This window comes from Homo sapiens, chromosome 2 (genome assembly GCF_000001405.40).
Source record: "Homo sapiens chromosome 2, GRCh38.p14 Primary Assembly".
Classification (NCBI taxonomy): Eukaryota; Metazoa; Chordata; class Mammalia; order Primates; family Hominidae; genus Homo; species Homo sapiens.
In genome coordinates, this window is record NC_000002.12 from 165,467,908 (window position 1) to 165,486,522 (window position 18,615).

Sequence of the window (18,615 nt, forward strand, 5' to 3'; positions counted from 1 at the left end):
TGTTATTTTGTTCCCAAATCTCTAAATCTCTCTTTTTTTTTTTTTTCTGAGACAATGGCATCATCATCTAAACAGAAGAAATCTGGTTAGAATTTGTGCCCTGCAAATACTTGCCTACAAGTCTCTGTCTACAATCACACTTGACATATAAATCACCTGGGAGAGCTTGCTAAAAATGCTGAGTCAGAAACTCCTCAAATGCTTATTCATTAAATCTGGAGGAGGCCCATGAACCTGCATTTTTAATGAATCTTCCCCTAGTGGTTCTGATGAAGATGGCCCCGAACAACTATTTCTAAAAATGCTGTCTGTCCTAGGGATTCCTCCAGTTATTCCTAGCAATAGGACCACAAAGGCTTTGAAAGCATTTTTCACAACAGAGGACTTGGCGGTGGGAATAAGCGATAGTTTAGTCTTCCCCATAATCTTTAGCAGAGCCTCCCAAAGCTACTCTAAATAACAGTGCAAACTAAGCAAAATCAGTGCACTCCTATCTAAAGTTAGTATCAGTTTAAGTCACCAGCCATTCCTTTCCTAACAATATTGACACCCCAAGCCCTTCCTGTACAGATATTCCTGGACTAATGATTTGCCACCATGCCAGTAACTCTTAAAGAATGCTTGCTTGCCCTTCCCTCTAATTTTACTCCCTTTGGCCTTATTCCCATGAGGACACATTACTGATTTAAGAAATTGAAGAGCAAGGCTTATAAATACCTCAAGTAGCCAGTACATACCTCTATAGTGGTGATATCTACTGTATATGTCTTTCTAAGGAAATTTTTCAGACCACCTCCACTAGAGGAAGCTCAATTGAGAGAATTTTTATCATAAAGATCCCTGGTTTGTATTACAGTATTTTAAAAATTAAACTGTTTGAAACTGGATGAATTTGCTTTATTGCCTTAAAAAATCCTAATTTGGTGTTTTCTTTAACTGTCCTTTAATGCATGTTATGCCTCTAGGTTCAGAAGTGAAATGATTTTTGTTTAAGTTTATTAGAATAAAATTGGAGTTCAGCTGGTCACTTTGAGGCATGGCAACCAAGTGACTGATCTCTTTTTAATCTTTAATAAGTTCCATTATTCACAAATTGATGGCATTTAAGGAATCTGAAGTAATGCAAACCACATAACTGTGAAATATTTGAATATTCTAATGCTCAGAATGAAATATTTTTCATACTGATTAGGCCTCGAAACTGCGTTTGAATGAAAACATTGTCAAACAGAGGTTGTAGTGCAAATAATATAAAACATAAGTATAAAGGGTGTTGATTCATTTTAATTCTATCTCTTTGCAAACTGAATATGCAAAATGTCATCTTGATGTTCAGTCTCCCTCCTCTGTCTGCATATCAAAATGTATAATGAGGAGGTACACTTTTTTCACTGAGAAAAATCAGTGGGAACTAAAAAACAGGCAATTTACCTAGGTTTTACTATGAGCATTTTGCTTTGATTTCAGGTAGGTGAGGCATTGATTAACTTTATTTTTCTAAATCCAAAGCAAGACTTTTTACTTCAGCTGAGGTCATCTGCAGACATTTTCCATAGTTGGGAGCTATTTTTTGAAATATCTTGCATCTCTGCTTTTCTCTCCATATTTCTTTTCTCCACTCGCTTCCTCTCTCCCAGCTGCAGGGATTCGTCCTCTAAAAGAGTGGAGGTGGGAGGGAACAAGAAATGGAAGCAAAGCAGGGAGCATGAGCTAGAGAATGCCAGGATCTGGCTTTTGTTATTGGTTGGCTGCCGCCTGATGGATAGACGAGGGAGGAGTGTACTCTCTTCAGTGTGTTCTGACGGAGCCGAAGTACAGAAACCATATTTACAGGTAAGAGCGAAAAATAAAAAAAAAGAAAAGAGAATTCTTTTTTTCTTTAAAAGAGAATGCTTCTTAATTTTTACGGAAACAATTTTATAGTAGGAAAATTATTCTGAGGACATTTTCTGAAAGTGTGTCCCTTTTATTACTTGAGGAAGCTTTGCAATGAGCTTGCTGTTCTTTCTCTCTGCAAAATCCTTAGCTGATTAAAAACAAAACAAAACAATCACCAGAGGCATGTCTTATCCTAAATAACTTTCTATGCAAGTGTCACTGAAGCAAAATTAATAGATAAAATGAATCATCATGTGTCTCTTCAAAAATGTTTAATTCAAGCTTGTTACTAGGAATCGCAGGAAGGATGAGAAAACCTCGGTAAATTCCACAGGTCCTGAGAAAATGGAGCCTTCTGTGAATATACAATATAAAATTTCATGTGATGGCTTTTAATATTGACAATACAGTAAAAGGCTTAGGAAAACTATTTTTGCAGGTTGTAGACTCTTTTAGCATTAATTTAGAATGAATGATTTGTGTGCATTTAAGCCCTGTTATTTAACTTACTCCTCTTGATAAATCTCATGTTGTTCAATATTTGCATTATTTTATTCAGCAAACTTTAAGCTTATGTGATAATTAAACAATGGTTTGTCTCTACTTGTTAACTTACATGGAGCCATTTTTATTTTAAAGCACAGAAACCTAATTTTGAAAGATTAAACATTGCTGTAAAAAATAGCATCTTAACAGTCATGTTTCATGGGTAGTTTAATTTATCAGTCAAACACATCTAGATAAGAATTCCATCAGAGCATTTATATTGTTGATAATATCTCTAGGCAATTTTTTTTTAGCAACTTTACTAGGTGCTTGTATCTCCTAATATGGTCCTTTATATTGCCTTAGGGAAAAAAGGGACAAGTTCTAAGTATGTAGAATAAATAACACACTTGCAGTAAAAACATACAAAAAAACTGAACTCCCAGTCACTTAATTCTTTACTTTAATTCATAAATACAGGTCATTTAACGGTGGTAGAACCTCATTAAAATTGAACTTTCAAGAATTATGACTGACTTCAGTACACTGGCCATCGATTAATACCTGTTGATTATAATAATAAAATAAAAGTCTTTCAATGAGGTAAATAATTTGTTCCTACATATTTTAATACCTTTTTGAATGAATCAAAACTAATAGGAATGACTATATAATTTCTAAATATTTTTTGCTATTGTTTTTCTTTTTGTTTATTGTTTTTCAAATTTTTTTATTTATTGTACTTTTTTTGTTTGAGAGATTTTGTCTTTGAATAAACAGACACAAATATAATAGTTCTTGGAAAATTAAAATGAGTGAGAAAATTGCTGAATATTAGTATGGATTATCTAAATGAATTGAGAATTACCTTAAATTTCCTAAAAGTACTAAATATAGTTAATAACATGTTTATATGGTTAAGTGTCATAATGAACCAAGTAAATATTCTGGTATGGTTGATTTTGAACTGTTTCTGGATTTCAAAAATTATTACATAATACTGAAATTTTGGCATGTTTCTAATTATTGATGGATCTTTCCGATTTTGTTTTTTTAAGCAAAACAATGGTTGAAATTAATCCACCCCTCACCCCAAGATTGAAATTCAAGGTGATATATAAGACCAGATATTCATCTCCTAAAATGTATTAGAGGAAATAAATCAATGCAGCTATATTTTTTAGAAATTATAAATTCTGAGTAAAGCTACCTCCAGGAATGAAGGGGAATTGATGAAAATTAGAGAGCAGAGTTCCACATGGTTTTAAATTATTCTGTTTCCTTGGAAACCAGCTGCTGCAGATGCATTTTGCTTTCTTTGGCTAAAAATATCACCCTTTTAATAATCACTAAGGGAGAGGACTGAATAAAACCAGAGTATATTGTTGCTGCTTTTTATAATTTCCTTAATGGTTCACATATTTTGGATGAAAAGTAGATAAACCCTTTCTCAATCAGCATTTCCTATCAGCCACTGGCAGACGTCTGCAAGTCTTATAAAAATGAGACAACTGGGGTAGCTTTTACTGCAGAGTCCACAGGAAGAGATAGAGAGAGAGAGAGAATGTGTGCTGGAGTGGAGACAAGAGAGAAAAAAAAAGCATGAAAGAAAACAGTTAAGAGGTTACTGTCCAAGTGAAGGATGAAACAAGGCAAATGAAAACCATGTAAGGCTTTCAGTGAGAAATGGGAAGGCATCACCATTTTTTTTTCCTTTGGTACAAACATTTTTAAGATTTAAATGTAGGTTTTTAATGGAGCTCACTATATACAGCTTTGTCCCCTTTTCACAACACTCTTTCCTTTTTCTCTTTATGTTTGCAGTGGTTTGCAATATAATGAATAATACAATAAATTAAGAAGTATTTTTTAATGTATCAATCACTTTAATCATAAAGAGAGAAGCTTGGTATATGTCCAGGCTATGGATAGTGAGGAGCATTCAATACACATTTTGACATTAGAATAAGAATTTTTTAAACTTAACGTCCAAACCATGTTTCATTAATGCAATTATTTCCTTACCTTTGTAATCTATTTAATATGTATAAAAAATTACACATTCCAACAACCTAAAAGCTATTTGTGTTAATGTTAAGGTAATTAATTTAAAATTTAATATAAATCACTGTAAATGCACATATATCCTTTTTGCTTTATTTGAAACATTTTTGCTTTCTTTGAAAATAAACATTACTTTTATGTAGCTTTTCTCTATACAAAAAAAAATCACAATTATCATCATATTCTACCCTAGGCAATTCCTTAATTTAAAACATTTTTATTATAAAATTACATGCTTCAAAGGCAGCACTGTCATCCCATACACCATTTTTTTCAAATCTCTCAGCTATTTGTTAAGAGGAAAAATCATCATAAAGCTGTTAACAGCTTTCCTATTATTTTTGTTATAATTCAGATGAGATTCCTAACTCTTATTTTCTCTTTACAACTCATTTAAATATTTGTGACATATCATACTTTATTTTCATAATATTAACCTTAGTCTATTAGATTCAATGTTAGCAATGTAGCAAATAAAGCACCACATGCTTAAACTACGTGTTAAAATATTTAATATGTAGCCAACATATTATTTAAAGTTAAATTAATTTGGCATGTCAGTACGTTATTTTCAAAAAAAGCTAAGATGGTGGGAAGTATTTTGTTTTTATCAATTAACACGAGCAAAGCACTTCAGTGACAGCACTTTCAGCATAAACACTGATGACATTAAAAAGCAAGCTAACAACAAATCAGATAGACTAGTAAATGGATTATGTGACCTGTGTAGACAACCCCTATTTAAGGCACAACCAAAATTATCAATGCTTGTCAAGATCCTGAAGAGAATGCATTTCGTAGGCTTACTCTCAACTACAGATAATTTAAAAATACAGTTTGTTAGTCATTTCTACTTACTGCTTCATGCTTCTTTCTTTGCTAAACGTAGCTTGCCAGAATTGTGGGTGGGTTTTCATGGCCTCTTAAAGTCTCACAAAATATACTAAAGAAAACAAAATACTTAATTACTTCCCCTATAATATAAGTAGACAACTTTACATCTGTAATGGAAATATGCTAGTTTGGCAAATAACCTCTTATTGCTGGAAATGGAGGGGTGGCATTTACAAGAAATGGAAATAACATGAGAGTAAGAAAGCTTGGGTCAGATTTAATAATATTCAAATTGTGCTGTATACATAAACTAATCCAGTCAAATGAAAAAATTACATTAACATTTGTACTATAGTACATCACAACTCAAAGGTATTATTAATCAGATGTTATTTTTGACTAATATATTTAATACCTGATAGTTTAATACAGGGCTTATACAGATATTAAAAGGGGGTTGGTTCAAAGCAGCATTATTGCTTTTTAATTATGATTTGGTATGAAGAAGCAAGGAATGGATTTATCAAGCTAATTGTCACATTTGGATATTTCACATATCTCAATGAATCAGTTGGGCAGATCATTTGATTTCTCTGTCAATTGCTTAGATTTCAGATATTATAATGGCCTAAATTGTTTGAGCTGAAAACTGTTGAATATGCATGCCCTGAGAAAACACTCAATATAACTTGTAAGGTATTTAATTCAAGATTATAACGATCTAGATAAATATCAGTGCTATTTCTATGAACTACGTATAGTAAGGAAATCACTTTGATACGAGATCAACTTCATGATCAACTTCATGATCTCATATCATGGCCTGAAAAGAAGATAAGCATGCATGTGACTTATTTCCAATAAGCTCTTATACTTTACTTAGATCAAGAGCTTAATACATTATTTTCCAATACCACAAAGGGTGGTGCACACATTTCTCCTTATCTCCTGACTTGTGCACATTCATAAAAATGACATTATTTTAAACAAAAATCACCAACACTATCAAATGTAGTTTTTAAATTTATATTTTTTTATTTTATCATATTGTTTTATTTTATTTTATTTTATATTTTAGAGATAGGGCTTTTCTATGTTGCCAGGCTTGAGTGCAGCAGGCTATTCACAGGCAAGATTATAGTGTACTACAGCCTCAAACTCCTGGGCTCCAATGATTATTCTGCTGCAGCCTCCCAAGTGGCTGGGGGATTGCAGGCTTATACCACTGTCCCTGGCAAAAGTAATTTTTATGCAAATGTTTATGTCTTTAAACAATATTTACTATAAATTCCTTGGCCTATACTCATTTAATTCATGTATTACCTTTTCATATTTTAGTCTTTTATTGCCCTAGAAACATGGGACTGCCGTGTAGAGAGAATTTCTTCCTGGATTCTTCATTTTACCTATGACAAAATTAAGGCGCAGAGAGGACAATGATCATATTTAGTGGGAAACTAAGTATTTGCTTATGCAAAATTACAAAGCAAGACACTATGTGTTTGTATTAAATATTAGATATAGTGCATTAAACACTGGATGAAAGAAAAGCAGAACTTAGAAAGGCTTTGCATGGAGGTGAAAAAGCATGGTGTGGCCAGATGGTCTCTGATGCATAACAACACAGGGATTTTAGAGTTGCATAGAACTCTCCACTTCAGACCTGCCCCTGATATCCAGTGAGCCTAGTGGCTTTGACCTACTATCACAGTCTCCTTGACTTTTTTAGTTTGCTGTCACTGTCAAAATGCATTTCAGCTTTGTATTTTAGCAAGTGTGGATACAGTTAGTTGCTGTCATGTTGTGGATATATCACAATATATTTAATAATGAAACAAATAGTTTCCTAAACAGGAGCCCTGAATGTATTTACAAAGATTTTCATTTGCTTTTCTCTCCTCAGGTTAGGCTAGCCATGAAAAATCAATATTTGTCATCAGTCATTACCAGGTAATACTGGTTGTGATGGTGTCAGCGTTTTAAAGCAGAAAGATTCTGGAAAAGGGTTTCAAAAGTGATTTAAAAAAAAAAGACGTCTTTGTTCTGTCTAATTAAAATTCCCTTCTCGTTGCTCATGAAACTCATACTTAAAATTTTAAATGATTTGCCCCCTGTGCATCCAAATCAATAAGGGCCCCAAGGGGCTGCTCTCATGCTGCCCACTGAACTTACCTAGAGCTGAGTGTTAAATGGAAAACTGATCTTGGGGATGCCATTATAATCCATTTTCAGAGATCTTCCCACAACATACAGGCAGGGCCAAGGAGAGAAGCCGTGGGCCTGTCCTGTGCTCCCTGCCAGAGCTTCTTGGTGTGTGGTCATGACAGCCACTTTGTGATCTCTCAGTACCCTTTCGCTCACTATCTAAATTATAGCTCTTGATGACAAGGAGTTTCCTTCATCTCTGCATCAATGCCTAATACAATGCCTGATACACAGTATGTGCCCCCAGATTGTTTTGCCGATTGAATAATTAAGCAAATTGTCTTGTCAGATAGTCATCTAGCCTCCTCTTACATCCTCTCAATGGCAGACACTCCTTACATTCTAAGACGGTCTCTTCCTTCCATGTTCTTCTCTGTTAATGCTATTCAGTGTGACAATGTCCATGTCACCTAAATGTCATTAAGCCATGCAAGGTTTTGTCTTGCAGACTTTTTATTGTCCAAACGCTATCTGTGCTCTCCTACATTAACGGGATTTTATCTGCATGTAGTTCCCATTTCATGCTTCCCTGCTCTGTTTCATTATAATACTGCTTGGTTTCTGATACACACACACAGATTATCATATACTAAATCAATGGGTTAATTGTAAATTAATGTAATTAACTGTAATTGTTATATTAATATATAATACAAGTGTTAATTAATGTTTGTGTAAGAAAATATAGTAGTATATATTTAACCAATCTGAGTGCTATCATACATCCACTCTTAGTCAATGAATCCCCATTCTCCTGAGTTAAATTTGTTCAACAACATTTGATTAAAGTTAAAATTGTTTGGCAATATTTTTGTGCTGCTCTGGGCTCACTTTCTGCCATTTGTGGTCTGTTCTGGTGAACAATTCTAAGCCGTAATGCCTGGTAAGTGACAATGCTGCATAAGCTACAAAGAAAACAAGTGTGCATGCTTGCTTGCTGTGTGTCACTGGGGTTTACTATGCCTCAGGGTAAAGGTAAGCAGATAATATGGGACTGGTAGAAGTCCTTTGATATAAATATCACCACAACTAGGTAAAAATAACCAAAAGAATAACGAATGAAATATCCTGATGAATTTAAACTGAAGGAAAAGGAGTGCTTACCAATGTACTGTAAACGTGTTCATTTACATGGAGCTATACTGTGGTATACATATACCCCTTAAAGGTGTGATTCAGTCATGCAGGCAGCATGCCGGTTTCTAGAAATGCATCATTTGAGCTAATGGGGTACTGTGACTTTGGCTTATCTATCTATTCTTTAGGTAGTGCAGGATAATCATTGATGGGCTTTCCTAACTGATTGACTTTGCAATCAAACAGGCATAGCCTCTTATTGCCTGTGTAAATTTGGACCAGTTACTTAAACTATCTGAGCCTTAGTTTTCTTATCTGTAAAATTCAGTTATCTACCTGGGTAGTATTGTGAAGATTGGCAGGTGTACATAGAGGACTTTTCAGTGCAGAATTTGGCGTATAGTAAGCCATTGTGTGCAATTTTTAGTTGTTGTTGCTAGTCATGCTTTTCTGTTTATAAGCCAAGAATGGAAGGAGCAAAATAATCCTCAGTATTTGTAATGACTTCCTAAGTATTATTGCTTGCTAGTGGGTGAAAAAAAATCCCTCTTGACTGGCTTTTTTTCCATATTAACTACAATTAAATTGCTGGGCATCAGCTGGTAAATTTAGTATTGTATGAGAAAGTGCAATTGTGAAAACAAATCCTAGAATTATTAAAGAAGAGCAAAGATAGGACCTTCAAAATATTAATATCAAGCATTTTCAAAATTGGGGCATAGATCTCAGAAATATAATTGAAGATTTCATAAAAAATATTCTATGATTAAATAAATTTAAGGAAATTTAGAGGATATTTAAATAATATCCATTCCTGTTAAGTCTTTTCTATGCTAACGTACACTAAGACTTTTAACGAAGGGTATGTAATATTAAGAAATTGTAGGCCGGGTGCAGTGGTTCATGCCTGTAATCCCAGCACTTTGGGAGGCCGAGGCAGGCAGATCACATGAGGTCAGAAGTTCGAGACCAGCCTGACCAACATGGTGAAATCTCGTCCCTACTAAAAATACAAATATATATATATATGAAATATATATATATATAATACAAATATATATATATATATTAGCCAGGTGTGGTCGTGGGTACCTGTAATCCCAGCTACTCAGGAGGCTGAGGCAGGGGAATCGCTTGAACCCGGGAGGCGGAGGTTACAATCAGCCAAGATCATGCTACTGCACTCCAGCCTGGGCGACAGAGCCAGACTCCATCTCAAAAAAAAAAAAATTGTAGGCCGGTAGGCCAGGCATGGTGGCTCACACCTGTAATCCCAGCACTTTGGGAGGCCAAGGCAGGTGGATCACTTGAGGCCAAGAATTTGACACTAGCCTGGCCAATGTGGTGAAACCCCATCACTGCAAAAGATACAAAATTTAGCCAGGCGTGCTGGTGAGTGCCTTCAGTCCCAGCTACCTGGGAGGCCAAGGCAGGAGAATTGCTTGAACTTGCAAGGTGGAGGTTGCAGTGAGCCGAGGTCACCTCTTGGCACTCCAGCCTGGGTGACAGAGTGAGACCCTGTCAAAGAAAAGAAAGAAAGAAAGGAAAGAAGGAAGGAAGAAAGAAAGAAGAGAGAGAGGGAAAGGAAGGAAAGGAAGGAAAGGAAAGAAACGAAAGAAAGGTTAAAAAAAAGGACATTATTAGACCTACTTCATCATAGACCCCTTCCCAACACAAAAGTCTCCTACTAAAATCTTGCAGATTGTATTTTGTATATGCATGCTTCACTAAGCATTTTTAAGACAGATGTATATCTACTGTGTTATTAAAGAGCCTCTAACTCAAAGGCTGAAACATGGTCTACATTTTACAATTTTCAAACTATAAAAATAGCTCCAATGTTTCTAATACAAAAACACTTCCAAAATTATTCAATTACATATGTGTTCATTCTTCATCAGAGTAATATATTCAATTTTTAAAAATTTTCACTCTTTTTCTCTCCCCCATGTTGTGCTTTTAAACTTCAAAAAAGCAGCACGTGTACATATGTTTAAAAATATTTGCTGTCCAAAGAGGTTTTACTTCCAAAAGCATGATTCCATTTTGTTTAAACTTCTTCTCTATGAGGAAAATCTGGAAACTACTCCTTTACTCTCATGTCTTGTCTTCTATTTACCTTACTTTTCTTCTTCAAAAGTACCTGGTTATTTATTGAACATTTCTTGAATCTTTAAATAAGATCCCATTCTTCAGTTGCTCACAGTCTATTAAGAAATTGAGTAGGAAACCTATGCCAAGTTTTATATAGAAGGGGTGTAGCATGACCTTAAAGAGCACAGTCTACGGAGTCAGGCAAGGTGAGTTTTAATTCCAGCTCAGTTACTTAATTGCCTTTGTCAGTGTATGTAGGTTACTTCCATCCTAAGCTTCATGTTGCTCCATGATAAAAAGGGAAGCATAATGCTTAATTCAGAATCACTGTAAGGGCAAACAAGATAACATGTTCACAGAATTTAGTTTCTAACACCAAGTAAAAACTCAAGAACATTATTATCATCTGTTTATCCAAAAGCGAAGCTATTTATTAACTAAAGATAAACAGGACATTATGGACAATATGAAAAATATCCCAAAAAATTCTCATTAAACCCTGTGAAGGCACCTAGCTATAAAGAGTGTTCATAACCTACTTTTTCTGTAAAGATAATTGAAACATACCAAAAATCACAAATGAAATGTCTTTTTTATAGCTATTATGAATGTTTATAAACAATATTTATGTATATTTTACCAGGAAAAGGAAAATTAAGTAACGTAGGCACACACATACACACACAGAAACACATTAAGAATAAAAAGAAAGTATGTGGGAGAAAAAATGTAATTCTAAGTATTCAAAAACAAGACAAAACAATATCAAGCAGTGAGATATCAAAAGTCATGAAAGTCCGTGATGATAAAATTATGATTTCAAGTGCCCAAATGCCTGGGTTTGAATTCTGGCTCTAAAACTACCTGTGTGACCTTGGCCTCATCACCTAACCCCCATATGCTTCAGTTTTTAAGCTCTAAATGGTATTATTAATAATAATGCCTATCTTATATGGCTATGGAGATTAAATGAGTTGATATATATTATACTAATTTTCTATTAACATGTAACAAATTCCCATAAACTTAACAACTTAAAACCACATTTATTAATCAGCTTATATTACTGTAGGTTAGAAGTCCTGCATAGGCACTTTGGGAGGCCAAGGCAGGAGGTTTGCTTGAGCTCAGGAGTTCAAGATGCGCCTGGGCAACATAGTGAGACCCCATCCCTACTAAAAATCAAAAAAATTAGTCAGGCATGGTGGTACATGCCTATAGTCCTAGCTACTTGGAGGCTGAGGCAGGAGGATCACTTGAACCCATGGGGCTGAGGCTGCACTGAGTCATGGTCATGCCACTGCACTCCAGCCTGGGTGAGAGATGAGACCAGTCTCAAAAAAAAAAAAAAAATAGTCCTGCACGGTATGGCTAGGTTCTTTGTTCAGGGCCTCACAAGGCCAGAATAAAGGTGTCACTTGGCTGAACTCTTATCTGGTCACTCTGGGGGAAAATCTACTTCCAAGCTCATTCTTGTTTTTGGCAGAATTCTGCTCCTTGGGCTGATAGAACTGATGTTTCTGTTTCCTGCTGCCTGTCAGCCGGCTGAAGGCTGCTCTCAGCTCCTGGAAGCTGCACACATGTGCTGTCATGTGACCCTTTCCTACTTCACGTCAGCCACAGAGAATCTCTCTCTCATCGAATCCCTCTCATCCTTAGTATCTGACTTCTAGACCTTGATTTCAAGGGCTCATGTGATTAGGTCAAGCCCACCCGCATAATCTCCCTATCTGGTTTGGGTCTTTAATTCATGTGCAAAATCCTTTTTGCTATGTAACATAAACATAGCAACATAGACATAACACAATCGCAGGAGTGGTATCTCACAGTGTTCACATGTCTAGGGTTATACGGGCACAGGGTGTACACATTACATGGTAGGGAATCTTAAGGGCCTTTAGAATCCTACCTAGTACATATATGAAGTGCTAGAACAGTGCTTGGCACATAGTAAGCACTATATGTGTGTTGACTATAATTATTATCTTGAGTAGCTGACAAATTCATAAACAGTTTTAAAAAATAGCAATATTTTTTGCCACAGCATTGGCAAGAGTGAAGTAATATCCCAATGCACCCTTAAAGAAATATAAATTGGCAGAACCTTACTGGCAGAACCAAATTGGCAATGTGCATGGAAGACTCAATATTTCCACTTCTAGGAATTCATCGTTAAAGGTATAATAAGAGATATGCACAAGTATATATATTTTATATTATATAAAATTTTATATATTATATATATAATATATATAATATAAAAATATATGTAATATATATTATAATATATATTTTATATATGTATATAAAAATATAATGTTGGCTAGGTGCAGTGGCTCATACCTGTAATCTCTGCACTTTGAGAGGCTGAGGCAGGAAGATTGCTTGAGCCCAGGAATTCAAAACCAGTCTGGACAACATAGTGAGATCCTATGTCTATAAAAATATGAAAAAAAATTAAATAAAAAAGGAAATGCTAATTATACTGTGATTTATAATAACAAATACTTAAAAATAAACCAAACATGTCCCTTTAGAGGTTTGGTTAAATATCATGGCCTAGTTATTCAATGAAATACAATGTATTAGACACAAAACCCAAAATCAAATAAAAGCACATGGTATTGGAAAATATTGAATGAGAAGGTTATATGCTCACGTTAATAGTGGAGAAACTGCAGGTATAAAATTGCACATACTGAGTTAATCAATGCACACTTCTTCCTGTAGTGTGAGGTAGACTCTTGGCAAGATACGGTCACTTAATGAGGGAGGGAATATACCCTGACAAATCCCCTGAGATTACTGCAGTGCAAACCAGACTGCTGGTGACTACTCAGGGAGCACCAGCCTCTTTCCTGGAGTGTGGGGTGGGCTTTGACAAGACACAGGATCACTTAACAAGGGAGGCAACGTGCCCTGACACCAACTGATCACACCCACCCACCAAAAGAGCCAGGGCATCCTCAACAGGAAGACTTTGCACCATCTTTCCTAGTTCTCTGTGCTGCCTCTATTCATTCGTACCTCAAAGTAGAAACGGTGTGGTGTGAGCCCTCATTCCTGATTTATAGTTCTCCTTTATGCTACACTGGCTAGATTACACACCCAGAGAAGATTTTAGAGTATGATTTTTGTTTTTAGCTCTAATACAAGGCATCCTGGAATACAAAATATGTACCAGTGGGGTAGGGAGTATGGAAATTAGAACACCTACAACACACATTCTGGCATTATGAAATAGCTACGTGGAGGCCATTATCCTAAGCAAACTAACACAGGGACAGAAAACCAAATACCGCATGTTCTCACTTTTAAGTGGGAGCTAAATACTGAATACATATGGACACAAAGACGGGAACAATAGGTACTGGGGAGGGCTCGAGGAGACAGAGTGCGGGAAGGTGGACTGGAAGGCTACCTAGTGAGTACTATGCTCACTACCTTGGAGATGGGACCATGCATACACCAAGCCCCTGTGACATACAATTTACACATGCAACAAACCTGCACATGTACTCCCTGAACCTAAAATAAAAATAGAAGAAAAAAATAAAATAAAATAGCTACTATTAGCCCCATTTGACAGGTAAGAAAACTGAGACTGAGAGAAATTAAATAACTTGCTCAAGAGATCCTATTCAGGATTCACCATTTCCTAAATGGTGAAACTGGGTTTTGAAGCTCTAGCCTCTCAGATCTTAAATTTAAGAGATGTGCTTTTTTTTTTTTTCTTGAGATGGAGCCTTGCTCTGTTGCCCAGGCTGGAGTGCAGTGGAATGATCTTGAATCACCGCAACCTCCACCTCCTGAGTCCAAGCGATTCTTGTGCCTCAGCCTCCTGAGTAGCTGGGACTACAGGCACGCCCCACTACGCTGGGCCAGTTTTTGTATTTTTTTGTAGAGACCAGGTTTCACCATGTTGTCCAGGCTGGTCTCAAACTCGTGACCTCAAGTGATCTGCCCGCCTTGGCCTCCCAAAATGCTGGGATTACAGGTGTGAGCCACCATGCCCAGTCAACAGATGTGCTTTTGCCTGAGGGATACAGATATCACCACAAATTCAGATTGAAGCAATTCTTCCCATTTACCTTTCAGCCCAAAGGGAGATATACCAAAATTCCTAGTTTTTGAAACTATCGTCTACCCATAGACCTTACAACCCAGGCTGGTTTCTTCCACCTCTTGCTTGTCTATGAGTAAATTGATAAAAATCAATGTTCTCATTTAGGAGTTTCCCTCCAGCCTCTCAGAATTTTTCTACCGTGTCTCCAAATATACTTTCACCTTATATTCCCAGGACTGTTTAATCTACATTCACTTTTATTCTGCATCCATCTTTACCTTCAAGAAACTGTCCCCATTCTTGTTCTAGGTTTTGCCAGTTAACCTCCTGTAATCAACCTAAGCCCATGATTATATCCAAGCTATTTATTAAGTGTTCTTGCAGTGGCAGGAGAGGGAGAGAGAACATACGTATATGTGTGTGTGTGTGTATGTATATATATATGTATATAAAAATATAGATATAAATAAATAATGTATATATAAAAATATATAATACAGTTGTGGAGGTTTGCTATTCAGTATACCTAGGCTCTGGGCAGGGCATTCAGGTGCCCTTTTCCATAATCATAAAATCTCAACCATTGGATATAGTAGTCTGCAAAACTTGCCTGGTAACAACACACATTTAAGGCCGTTGCAGGGGATCCATCTAAGCTCTAAACCATCTGATTTTTAGAAAAATAACTTATATTTGTGGAAAAGTCAATGTAGTCAACATTCATTGTAGTTCTTCCTTCAAAATGGAGATTTTAGATTTTTACCTTTGTATTCTGTAAGTGATCTGTGCTGAGTCAGTTGCTAATACAGTTGTTTCTTGTAACAATAGCATAAAAATTAATAACTTACAATTTTCTACCATTACTTTTAAATGCTAATAATCTCCTTATATTCTTTTAAGTCTCTAGGTTTGTATAAAATTACTAAACTGTCATTTTGAATATTTTATTTCAAACTGTGATTATTCTATGTCTCAATCAGTTCTGGTTACCACAACAAAATATCATAGACTGGGAGAATTATAAACCACAGAAATTTATTTCCCACATTTCTGGAGGATGGAAGTCCAAGATCAAGGTGCTGATAGATACCGTGTCTGGTGAGGGACTGTTTTCTAGACAGCCATGTTTTTGCTGTAACCTCATGTGGCAGGAAGGCAAGGGATCTCTTCTGGGGTCCCTTATAAGGGCACTAATCCGCCTTCATGACTTACTTATGTCCCCAAAGCTCCAGCCCCTAATAACACCACCTTGGGGGTTAGAATTTCAACATATGAATTTTAGGGAGACCCTAGCATTCTATTGAATAAATATTCAGACCATAGCATTCTATTGAATAAATATTCAGACCATAGCATTCTATTGAATAAATATAGCAATTGTAACAATTCTTATCTTAGGAATGCTAGTAAGAAAATTGTATTTTATATATGTCTCAAAATGAATTATTGTATACGGAATCAGTAATAATGCAACAATTCCCATTAGAGCTATTTTATTTTATTTTATTATTTTTGAGACAGAGTCCCACTGTCACCCAGGCTATCTTGGCTCACTGCAGCCTCCACCTCCCAGGTTCAAGCAATTTTTCTTATGCCTCAGCCTCCCAAGTAGCTGGTGTTACAGGCATGCACCACCACATTCGGCTAATTTTTGTATTTTTAGTAGAGATGGGGTTTCACTGTGTTGGCCAGGCTGGTCTCAAACTCCTGGCCTCCAGTGATCCACCTGCCTAGGCCTCCCAAAGTCCTGGGATTACAGGAGATCTATTTTAAAAACCTAATAAGGTATCATCTTTTTGGACCAACAAAGGACTTGTGAGCGGATCTGGGAGTAGAATTGAGAAACTTCTGACTTCTAACGTACACAACAAATACAATTTTTCAGTGCTAGAAAATATAAATCAAGTCATCTGTACTTCCCCCTGTTTGCTGACAGTTTCTTCCAGCCATGTACTGTCAGAAAGAGCATTCTGTATTATAGGGTGTTTTTAAAATATTGTTTATGATCACTTTTGCTTGACTATGTGGATGGGACAAACTCAATAAAGAATGTTCATAATAACTGTCTTTTCCCGTAGTTTTCCTCCCTTCCCACCTATTACTGCAGACATCTGAAACGGAGTAGCATCCTATTCTCTCTCACAATTTAGCTTTCTCTGTATAATCCTGCTTCTATTGCCATGGAATCATTACAACATCGCAATTTTGGTAGTTCAACCAGAGTGTACTACAGAATTAGATTGGTGAAAACAAACTAGAATAAAACAATTCCTTTCTCTTTCACTCAATCTCTCTCTCTCTCACTTGCTCTCGCTCTTTCTTTCTCTTTCTGAGTCTCCTAAGCTTTGTTTAAAATTACTAAACTGTCATTTTGAATATTTTAATTCAAACTGATTATTCTGTGTCTTAATCAGTTCTGGTTACCACAACAAAATATCATAGATTGGGAGAATTATAAACAACAGAAATTTATTTCTCACAGTTCTGGAGGGTGGAAGTCCAAGATCAAGGTGCTGATAGATATTGTGTCTATCGGAAACTAAGGTGGAAAATATTTTTTTCCACCTTACTTTTGTGTTTGCTTAGATACATAATCATACAATTCAATCTTTCTCTAATGACTTTGTGCAAGTATTTTCAGAGCTTCCAAGGCATAGAAGTATAAATGTGAGCAAATATATCACCTTGACAGAAATTATTTACATTGATTTTATATTAGATAAAGAAATCAATTAAACACCTATATAGTGCAACAATTTCCAAATAGTCTCCTATAACTGATAAACATAAGGTACAACAACATTTTAAAAAATCAACAATAGCTTTCAGTCTTTCAGAACTTTCCTGCAATATTTCTAAAACTGTCAAACATCACTTCAAGACGAGCATCTCTCTAACCAAATAAAGGTTACGTTAGGTCTATAAGTGAGTTTTTAAGGTGCAGGCTACTTGGCTTTCAAACAGGGTCAACCCAGAGCCAGAGTCCTATAGTCCCTATTGTAGCAGGTAGTGGTGATTTGACTTTCAAAAATTTTGAATAAATAACTTTAGGGAGAATGGTAGATAAAATAGTTATTAAGTCCATGCCTCCATCTTCCTATTAATAAATAAATTCTTGAGAATGATCACCATCTACATATTGCCTTTTCTCTATTGAATTAAAAGAAATATTTCTTTAGAGTGATAAAAGAAAGCTTACATTTACATTTTTGTTGTTATTTTGCCACAGTAGCACCACAAGTGGTACAAGGTATCTGGATGATTCTTATTTTAAATCTAGTAGGTAAGGTGCCTCAGCCATCATCAAATAATTAACAAAGCTAGGAGGAGCCAAGATGGCCGAATAGGAACAGCTCTGGTCTACAGCTCCCAGCGTGAGCGACGCAGAAGACGGGTGATTTCTGCATTTCCATCTGAGGTACCGGGTTCATCTCACTAGGGAGTGCCAGACAGTGGGCGCAGGCCAGTGGGTGCGCGCACCGTGCGCGAGCCGAAGCAGGGCGAGGCATTGCCTCACCTGGGAAGCGCAAGGGGTCAGAGAGTTCCCTTTCCGAGTCAAATAAATGGGTGACGGACGCACCTGGAAAATCGGGTCACTCCCACCCGATTATTGCGCTTTTCAGACCGGCTTAAAAAACGGTGCACCACGAGACTATATCCCACACCTGGCTCGGAGGGTCCTACGCCCACAGAATCTCGCTGATTGCTAGCACAGCAGTCTGAGATCAAACTGCAAGGCGGCAGCGAGGCTGGGGGAGGGGCGCCCGCCATTGCCCAGGCTTGCTTAGGTAAACAAAGCAGCCAGGAAGCTCGAACTGGGTGGAGCCCACCACAGCTCAAGGAGGCCTGCCTGCCTCTGTAGGCTCCACCTCTGGGGGCAGGGCACAGACAAACAAAAAGACAGCAGTAAC

At 36.4% G+C, this 18,615-nt stretch overlaps 1 protein-coding gene across 3 annotated transcripts in view; it reads left to right on the top strand.

Annotated features, from left to right (window-relative positions):
- Positions 1 to 1,790: 1,790 nt before the first annotated feature.
- The window catches only part of CSRNP3 (cysteine and serine rich nuclear protein 3), a 219,710-nt gene continuing 202,885 nt past the window's right edge, over positions 1,791 to 18,615 (top strand). The window contains exons 1-2 of one of the 3 annotated variants that reach the window (XM_024453155.2): positions 1,791 to 1,833; positions 2,845 to 2,967. The gene's annotated coding sequence lies outside the window, so the exon portion shown is untranslated. Of the gene's footprint in view, positions 2,968 to 18,615 lie in introns of all 3 variants that reach the window. The other 2 variants (XM_047445908.1, NM_001172173.2) reach the window with 2 other exon arrangements.